The sequence below is a fragment of the Homo sapiens genome, chromosome 6 (assembly GCF_000001405.40).
Source record: "Homo sapiens chromosome 6, GRCh38.p14 Primary Assembly".
NCBI lineage: Eukaryota > Metazoa > Chordata > Mammalia > Primates > Hominidae > Homo > Homo sapiens.
Window position 1 is genome coordinate 19,347,903 of NC_000006.12, and position 10,763 is coordinate 19,358,665.

The following is a 10,763-nucleotide window of genomic DNA, read 5'->3' on the forward strand; positions in this document are numbered from 1 at the left end:
CCAGGCGTGGTGGCGGGCGCCTGTAGTCCCAGCTACTTGGGAGGCTGAGGCAGGAGAATGGCGTGAACCCACAAGGCAGAGCTTGCAGTGAGCTGAGATCGCGCAACTGCACTCCAGCCTGGGCAACAGAGCGAGACTCCATCTCAAAAAACAAAAAACAAACAAACAAAAAAAACAGGTAACAGGCCTTCTTCCCCACCCCACCTCCCCTCCACCCCCAGTGTTGCTGGACCTGTAGATCTGTGTTGAGCCACAGATATGAGTTTCTGTTTCTCAGGATGGGGTTTGTTAAAGTTGTCAAGAGTAAGGCCTACTTTAAGAGATACTAAGTGAAATGTAGAAGACAATGACAGGGTAAAACTGATTACTATGCTCAGAAATCCTTGGTGATATAAGATAAAAATAAGTACAACATGCCTAAATACAGGGTGATAGTTTGTGTAACAGATAGAGATATCATTTGTCAGATTGCTTATGCCCATATAGGAGGGAATATGATAATGTATGCAGCTTATGCATATGAACTGCCAAAACATGGTGTGAAGGTTGGCCTGACAAATTATGCTATAGCATACTGTACTGGCCTCCTGCTGGCCTGCAGACTTCTCAGTAGGTTTGGCATGGACAAGATCTAAGAAGTCCAAGTAGAGATGAATGGAGATGAATACAATGTAAAAACCATTGATGCTCAGCCAGGTGCCTTTACGTGCTATTTGGATGCAGGCCTTGCCAGAACTACCGATAAGCTTTTATGGGGTCTGGAAAGGAGTTGTGGATGGAGGTTTGTTGATTCCTCACAATATTAAACGATTTCCTGGTTATGATTCTGAAAGCAAGAAATTTAATGCAGAAGTACATCAAAAGCCCATTATGGATCCAAATGCTGCAGGCTACATGTGTTACCTAATAGAAAAAGATGAAGATGCTTACAAGAAATGTTTCTCTTAATACATAAAGAACAGCATAACTTCAGACATGAAGGAGATGTACAAGAAAGCTCACGCTGCTATATAAGAGAATCCAGTCTATGAGAAGAAGTCCGAGAAAGAAGTTTAAAAAAAGAAGTGGAACCATCTGAAAATGTCCCTTGCCCAGAAGAAAGATCAGGTAGCTCAAAAGAAGACAAGCTTCCTCAGAGCTCAGGAGCAGGCTGCCAAGAGCTACCTACACTGAACAATTTTCTGTGAGAATTTTTCAGATAAAGACAATAAACTTATTGACTAAACAAATAAAAAAGAAATAAAAAACCAAGCAAAATATTTGAATAGCTATTTCACCAAAAAAGATGTATGAATGCTAATAAACACATGAAAAGATTCTCAGTGTTGTTAATCATTAGGAAAATGAACATCCAAATCACAATGAGATATAATTTCATACCCACTAGGTAGCCATAATCCAAAATACAAATAGAGACAAGGGCTAACTAGAATGTGGAGAAAATGGAGTGTTTACACATGGCTAGTGGGAATGTAAAATGGTTCAGCCACTTTGGAAACAGTTTAGCAGGTTCTTTAACAAGTTACATATAAATTTACCAAGTGACTTTGCAATTCTCTTCCTAGGTGTCAGCCCAAGAGAAGTTAAAGCACATGCCCATACCAATATTTTCATGTGAATAACACTCTCCATAATAACCAAAAAGTGGAAACAGTACAAATCTCCAACAACTGCTGAATGGATATACAAAATGTGGTATATCCCTACAATGGAATACTATTCAGTAATGAAAAAGGAAAGAAGGACGGATACATGCAACAACATGGAATAATCTCCAAAACCTTATGCCAACAGAAAAAAGGTAGGCGCAAAAGACTACATTTGTATGTATCCTTTTATATGAAATGTCTAGGAGAAGCAAATCTATAGAGACAGAGCAGATTAGTGGTTACCTAGGGCTAAGGTAGGAGAAGGGACGGACTACAAACACAAGCAGAGGCTCTTTTTGGGTGATAAATATGTTCTAAAACTCATTTTGGTGATGGTTGTAAAACTCTGTAATTTTACTAAAAATTATTAAATTATATACTAACATTTTTGTAGTATGCAAATTATACCTCAATAAATCTTCTGTTTTGGCCATTCTGCAGACGTAAAACAGCACCATCCAAACTTGAGGTTTCAATATTGAGACAGATGATGCCACGGACACACCAAGAGGGTATGAAAAAGTTTATAATGCACACAATGAGACTTTCTGGGGATGGCAGAACAGACTTTCCAAATTGGTCTGGTAATGACTTGAATAGCGAGAAAGGGGAGACCAGCTTGGGGTTTTTATTGCGGTTAGGTGGCAGGACTCGGGTGAGGGTTCTCCTTATGGGCAGGACTTGCATGATTTGAAACTCCCACAATTACCAAAGAAGGGGATATCTGGAATTTATTATAGGCTTCTCCAAATGTGAGCTGAAGGGGATGAAAGATAGGTGTGACTTCAAAGCCGTCAGCAGTCAAATGTCAAAATTGGAGTCAAGTTCTTTATTAAAACTGTTTAAAAAATTATTTTCTACTAGAAGGTCTTGACTTATTCCTGAAGTTATTTTACATATTCCCCATGCACACCACAGTAAACTTTTCCTATGGCCCTTGCCAATCTTTGTTGTCCATTCATTATTCCCCTCAGTAGACGATGAGCTGCTGTGATCTTTAAGTCCCAATTCTTTCATAATATGTGGAATACGGTAGACACCATAATTGTTAAAAACAGGTGACAGACTATGTGGAGTGATTAAAAGCAGAAAAGAAGGGAGCAGAAAAAAATCAAGTGGCAGCCGGGCGTGGTGGTTCACGCCTGTAATCCCAGCACTTTTGGAGGCCAAGGTGGTCGGATCACTTGAGGTTAGGAGTTTGAGATCAGCCTGGCCAACACCATGAAACCCCATCTCCACTAAAAACACATAAATTACCCAGGTATGGTGGTGCACGCCTGTTATCCCAGCTACTTGGGAGGCTGACGCAGGAGAATTGCTTGAGCCCAAGAGGAAGAGGTTGCATTGAACTGAGATCATGCCACTGCACTCCAGCCTGGGCGACAGAGTGAAACTGTGTCTCAAAAAAAAAAAAAAAGAAAAAAAAAAAAATCAGGTGGCTAAGGAAAAATCTTCCCGAAAAACCATGCTCCTTCTATTTTCTACCTCAAGCTCTATGGATGGCTTCATCTTAGATTATTTGACTTCTTCATGTTAAGAAAATGGAAAGTAATAGTTTAATGAAAGTGAAGTTAATATTTTCTTTGTTGCCAAAGAAACAATATTATATGAACCTTAATTGTTTCTTGGTTGACTACTAAGTATATACTTTCAATATTATGTTTTAGTATCCTTAATTCTTGCCCTTTTACTTCAGCTCCTTACATTCAGAAAAACATTAATCCTATGATTCTGGGTATACCTTGTAAACCTTTCTCTCCAGTCTCTTATCTTCCAATAAGTTCCAGGCTCTACAATACCATCTTTATTCATTGCCTGGTTGACTATAAGTCCTTATTTGCCAAAGAAAGTTCCAATTTACTGTTGTTGTGAAGAAATTATTGATAGATGATTTTTAAGTAATTCAGCCTGGATATTAACTTATGTAATCATGCTACACATTATCCATGGATAGACTTCAGCAATTTTTAACTAGGATGGCAGACCATTCAATTTTAGATCAATCTTATATAACTGTATATAGCTATGCCATAGTGTTGTAAGGATATTTAGCTTTGTTAGATCTTTCTTTATATCTGTGTGTGTATGTGTGTAAATAATTTATAATATAAAGTCATTGAGAAATCACCGACTTAACAGTCTTATGCAAAAGTGCTAGTCTTGGGTATAAATCATGCCTAACTAGGTAAATCATATAATCTCTTTGAGTCTCAAATTCTCTGTAAAATGGAAGTAAAAATCCTTGCCTTGCAGTACAGCAAATAATGACATGTGGTTGGAAGCTCTTAGAAAATTTTGTAATTTCACACAATTTTAAGATAGTATTAAACCTATTTTCAGCTCCTAAAGAGATGACCCAGATATATAATCAGCTGGGAACACAAGAGAATCATATACAAATATTATCAAGAAGCCAAGAGCTTGTCCATACACAGACTGTAAGTGGTTTGCAAGTTCGGATGAAGGAGTGATGTGATCAAGGATAGTCTTTGAGGTGTGTGGCAGATCCTTCTGACTCACTAACTCAACACCCACTTCCAATCCATTCCTCTTTACCTAATTGTATTATGAATGTGGGAAATTTAAGTGTTAATTTGTCATGCCTCCTTGCCCATGCATTTGGCAGGCAATACATTTTTTGGTCAATAAAATACAAAATAATGTCTCTCTCTGGGGTCACTTGGGAAAACTTTTGCTAACTTGATAAGAGGACAGATAAGGGGAAGCAAAGCTCCTTCCCCACTCTTTTTTTCCTTGACATGATGGCTATCAAGTGATGATGCCATAAAAGTCCAGCAGACTAAAGATGATGCAGTGGATTGCCTCCCTCCGGATCTCTTATTCTATGTGAAAATCAATTCTTTATTGAGCTGTTCTTAGTTGGATTTGTTGCAGGCAAAATAACTTTTTAGTAACACAAGACATTTACTTTGTGAGAGGTAAATGATTTCTCTAGTCAAGTACTGGCTGGAAGAAAAACCCCCATTGCAATGGCTACAGCTAGAACAAGCCCATTTAAATACAAAGGAGGCAAACATAGTATAACAGGTTTTGTTTCCCTGAATTTTGTTCCAGTAACCAGGGCCCTAATCTAGTGCTGCTGACAGGATTTCTCACATATGCTCAGAATGCCCACTTGGTTTTGGCCTCTGTTGTTCAGCACGTGTTTCTTCAGAGGGATAAGTAGGTAGATAATAACTATGTGGAGATGAATATTTGAGTCGACATGTGAAAGTACTTTCTAACAACTAGGGCTGCTCAACATGACCCACGTGGCACTTACACTCTTCTAACAAACCAATCCACTGGAGAAGCCATGGAATGGGCTTCCTGAGTGGAAAGCAGGGTGCTTTTAACTCTGAAAGTCTAGACTATCTGATTATGGGTCTGTATTAGAAGTTACCCTTGTGCAATAAGAAGCAGCCTCTTCCCATAAGGAGTTTAGAACATAAGAAATTCTCTGGTGAAGAAAGAAAGATATTGACATAATAAGGAAGTTGTCTATATTGCCTTATTCAAACCTTGGTGAAAACTTAGCTTATTTTGTTTTATATGTGCATTGGGGAGTACAAGCTATTTTCATGCAGTCACCTGTCTGCTTCTGGGGATACCAAGTGACCATTTAGAGTGCTGGCCCAGGCAGCATGGGATTCCAGTTTTCTACTGTTATCTGGCTCAGAAAGCAGCTCATGCAGGCCAAAAAGAAATGAAATGATGATTGTACTGCAGACAATGTAACTGATCTCTTCCTTTAAATGCTAAAGGGACAAAAGTCATTGAGGATAATTTTGTCTACATCATTTCTCCAAGTCTGAATAGCCATGGAATTTCAGACATTTACAGGACTAAGAATTTCTAGTTAGTCTGCAAATTTATTCAAAATTATTTTATGGGCCAGGCACGGTGGCTCACGTCTATAATCCCAGCACTTTAGGAGGCTGAAGCAGGTGGATCACCTGAGGTCCAGAGTTTGAGAACAGCCTGGCCAACATGTTGAACCCCCATCTCTACTAAAAATACAAAAAATTAGCCAGGTGTTGTGGCAGATGCCTGTAATCCCAGGTACTCTGGAGGCTGAGGCAGGAGAATCGCTTGAGCCTGGGAGGCGGAGGTTGCAGTGAGCCAAGACTGCACCACTGCTCTCCAGCCTGGGCAACAAGAGCGAAACTCTGTCTCAAAAACAAAAACAACAACAAGAACAACAACAAACTATTTTATGTTAGTCACTTTATATGTATTATCCAATTTAATCCTCACATTAATCATTATCCCTATTTTACAGCTGAGGAAACTGAGACATAAGAAGTACAAGTCCCTTAGCAAATTAACGTGGGAACAGAAAACCAAATAATGTGTGTTCTCACTTCTAAGTGGGAACTGAATAATAAGAAAACATGGACACATTGGGGAAAACAACACATGCTGGGGCCTGTTGGAGGGTTGGGGGTGGGAAGAGAGAGAGGATCAGGAAGCATAGCTAATGGATGCTGGGCTTAATACCTAGGTGATGGGGTGATCTGTGCAGCAAACCACCATGGCACACATTTACCTATGTAACAAACCTGCACATCCTGCATATATACCCCTGACCTTAAAATAAAAGTTGGCAATAAAAAAAGGAAGGATAAATGATTTTTACAAGGTATCAATATCTAATAAGGAACAGAGTAAGATTCAACTCTAGGTTTATTTTGGCTCCAAAACTTATACTCTTACTATGCTATTTATTTGCTTTGTATTATTTAATGGTATATGTTTGCCGAGTTCCACTCAACACTTTTTACCATTTATCTAGACAAAGAGAAACTGCAATCACATGGCAGCTGCTCAGTAATTCCCTTAGGGCATCACTGTGTGTGGTTAAGATACAGCATAATAAGATGGACAAGCATGGTAAAGTGCCTTATATCAAAACAGGACAGATAGATATGCATAGGGGGCATCTGAACCATGTATCTTTAAAGTTATTCTTCATGAACTCCAACCCTTTCATTTTACTGAAGAAAATCATCAAGGTTATTAGGTGTCAAGGAATATTTTTTAAAAGCAGTGTCAGAGCAGAGAGAGCCATTGCTCCTCTTCCCTGGACCCTTTCTCTTAGTTGCTACCCAATCTCTGACGGTCATGTTTATTATTTAATTTTAAAAGAAAAACAACATATTCAAGCATTTTAGATAGTAAAGTTCAGATACTACAGCCATTCTGTAGTAAGAGAAGAAAAGGAGTCCATGCTTTGTTTGAAGCTTGTACCACATAATATATTCTAGATAATGATGACTTAAGTGCACATGGAAGTATGTATGAATATGTAAGCACTTTGAAATTCAAACAAACCCTATGGGTTAATCTTTATCTGAAATAGAAAATGACCCAGACCAGCACACCAACATACACACAGAAGAAGGACAGCACATATTTATCCTTTGTAAACTTCTTGCATGTTTTATGGCTTTTGCTGCCTAGAAATTTCTTTTCAGGACTAACTAAAACGGCTCTTACAAAGATTTAAACTCATATCTTGCTATGCTGTATTCTCCACAGACAGACAGCAGGTGGGGAGTTTAGAAACAACGTTTCAGGAGGTGAGAGGGTAGGGTTTTAACCAGGGTATATGCTTCTCACAGCCTCTGCATCCTTCTATGAGAAATGATTGTGTTGGACTTGAACTCTTAAGTTTGTTATTGGCTCCAAAATACCATAATGCTATGAAAATAGGTGCCAATTGTCCCTGTCGAATTTTAACCCCTCTAGAGTAGGATTAGAAGACATAGCATCTTCTAAATCTGATGCTTCCATTATAGAACTGTTTATCCCAGTCAAAATGGATCAGTAACAGGGTTTATAAAGGCCTAGATGATCAAGCGGTTAATCATGCTTAAGCAGAGGGAAGATAACACAATTTTCAACATTCATTTTTTTCTTATTTTAAAAATTGGCTTCTATATGCCCTCAATCTTCACGAGCAAGGAAGAGACACTCCACAGAGATATTGCTAGGAGGCTAAATGAACCACATGGCATGTTGAAGCCTGTACATCAGCAGATGCTGCATCTTCTCCCCTGTAACAACTCACCTTTCTTCACTGAATGCTACAAACTCTTAGCCCTTAACTCTGTTAAACTCATCTCTATGTGTTGTAACCAAGGCAGTCCTTGTGCAGAAAACAGGCATGCATCTTATGCATCTAAATCCACAAAGCCAAAGATAGCATGTGTACCTCTTTATTTCTGCATAAAAGAACACCAAGTTTACACTTCCACTTTATTCTACACCTTTTCTTTATTTGGAATCAATAAGTGGCAGCAAAAGGGGCAGAGAAGGGACTTTCTGAGTATGTATATTAGTCTGTTTTCACGCTGTTGATAAAGACATACCTGAGACTGAGAAATTTACAAAAGGAAGAGTTTTTTTGGACTTACATTTTCACATGGCTGGGGAGGCCTCACGATCATGGAGGAACACAAGGAGGAGCAAGTCACATCTTATGTGGATGGCAGCAGGCAAAGAGAAAGAGAGTCTGTGCAGGCAAACTCCTCTTTTAAAAACCATCAGATCTCGTGAGACTTATTAACTATTGTGAGAACAACATGAGAAAGTCCTGGCCCCATGATTCAATTACCTATCACTGGGTCCTCCCATGACACATGGGAATTGTAGGAGTTACAATTCAAGATGAGATTTGGGTGGGGACACAACCAAACCATCTCAGTATGCAAAGGCAATAACAAAACAAAACAAAACGGAAAACTACATAAGAAATTTACATGTACATAATTATTATATTTCAGGAAAAGGCTTCTTTGTTATTTTAATTTCAGAACAGCATTAAAGACTACAAAACAAGATTTTAAGCACTTTCCTGCTGAGCTGATGACTTATTTTTTTAATTTGTTATAACCACACAAAAACATACATTCTTTGGAGACCTCATTAGCCTGAGTGCTGCATGTATTATTTGCTTTAAGAGATGGATGAGGTAGCAGAGGCAATTTCTTATGGAATCCCTTGGTTTTCACCTCCCTGCTCCACACCCTTCCCTACAAATTTGGTTGCCAATTCAGCATTATGAATTTATTAAGTGTTCCTGGTGTGTTTAATGGGGGAGAGAGAGAGAAGGTATAAATTGTAGGCTAAAAAATAAACAAAAAACAAAAAACTCTGCTTTCTACATTCGCCCTGCATCTTTTTGCTCCAGTGCGATAGAGGACTCTCTCATCTTCCATAAGATATTCATGTTCACATTTAGCTTGAGGCCCTCAGTGTTCCTAGAGGGTTTTAAAACCCTCAATGTTGCAATAATGTTTCAACCTGTGGTTTTGGATATTTCCAGGGACTAAGTCATCCCCCAAGTCTCCACAGAATACCCATGCTACCAGATTATGAGGTCATCATTATTACCCTTTCTTGATAGTATTACCTTCTAGTCTAGGATTTTTGGTATTTTGACTTATTTTTTAAAATCTTGCTATCTAAAAGAATAGTAAAAGGTAGTTCAGAGCTTAGGTAAAAGACATAAAAGTCATCTGTGTTACATATGAGTGTTTGAAGGAGAAGTTAAATATCTGTCTGCTAGTGGTAATGAACTAAAGCCCTCCCTGTATGCATTTTCCAGGAATACCCCTGAGGGTAAGCACCACAAAATGGCATGGATTCCCCATCCTGCCAGTAGTACTACTAGCTCTGTAGCATAAATGAGGGTCAGGTGATAGGAGCCAAGAGGATTTTGACAAAAGCAGCATTTCTCACAGCTGCAGAAGGGCTGCCACAAAAGAAAATTTAGGAATTCAAAACTTTCTCTGACTCTTATTGCAAATTTAGATGGCTACTGTTGTATAACAATAGAAATGTAAATCGAGACCTAAAAATGTTTCTTGGGTGGAAAAATGTTTACTACACGATATTTAGTGAAATAAGAAAAATGCAAAACTAAATGGTATGAACTCACATTTGGAAAAGAACAGAAATGAAGCTAAAACAAAACATCAGAGAGAGAGAGAGAGTTTAGAAAGAGAATGGAGGTAATTAGACAAAAATGTTAATAATAGATGGTAAGATGATCTATGGTTATTAAATTTTTAATACATTTTTGTGTTTTCTATAAAATAACAAAATAGATATTCTAAACATATATTTAGGGGGAGAGAGCTGTTAAGAAACTGTCTTACAGCCTTAACTGGTTTAACACATAATGATCACATCTTTCACATTTGTGCCATCTTGTCATGAATTATTTCAATTTTCCTCCTCCATAAAAATTTTCATCTCGCCTGTTGGAGGCTGAAAATTGAAGGCACTAATAAGTCAAATGATCTTTCAATTCCCATCTAATTATAACAGAGTTTAGATCGATGAAAAATCTTAAATGTTTATTTTGAACAAGGTATCAGGGCTGAAAACAAAAGTTGCTGGGCTAGTAAAGGACTGAATGTATCATCATGAGAAATAAGTTAGAAAAGAGTATAAAGTGGTAAAAAAAAAATTTAAAAGAGACCATTGTTTGCAAGAAAATAAGCAGGGTAAGTTGTGTGATCATATTTCTCACATTAGAGGTGAGATCTCTGATAATCAACAGTTTGTCCCAGTTGGAACATAATCACAATGTTTATTTTTCTTTTTCTTACCATGGGGAAACCTAAAACATGTACTCCACGAGTAACAACGATAACTATTATTTATTGGTTGTGTGCCATGTGCCAGATTTATCAGGAAACCTGTAGTACAACATTTTACACATATTGTTGTGTTTAATTCTAAGAAAATATCCCATCTTTATAATAACAAAATTGTGGCTGAGGTTAAGCCACTTGTCTAATGACACACCCATAAAAAGTGTATAACCCACACTTGAACCCATGTCTGTCTGACCCTGAGCCTATGCTTTTTCCAACATTCTACAAAATCCTACAACAGGTAATGGGAACACAAGATATTATCTAAAAAGCTGGTTGGGCTAAGAGAAAGCTAGGATTCCTCTCAGGGAGATAACTTTACCTTTGGTTAGGAAGTCACTTCAATTTAATATTGGGTTATGAAGGTTGAATTAGTTGGGATAAGACAATAGCAATTAAGTGATTTAAGGCATATAGAAATGTCTTTCTCACTATCATAATGACC

General features: G+C 37.9%; 1 pseudogene; it reads left to right on the plus strand.

The window, feature by feature from the left end:
* On the plus strand, positions 212-1,231 carry RPL5P20 (ribosomal protein L5 pseudogene 20; annotated as a pseudogene).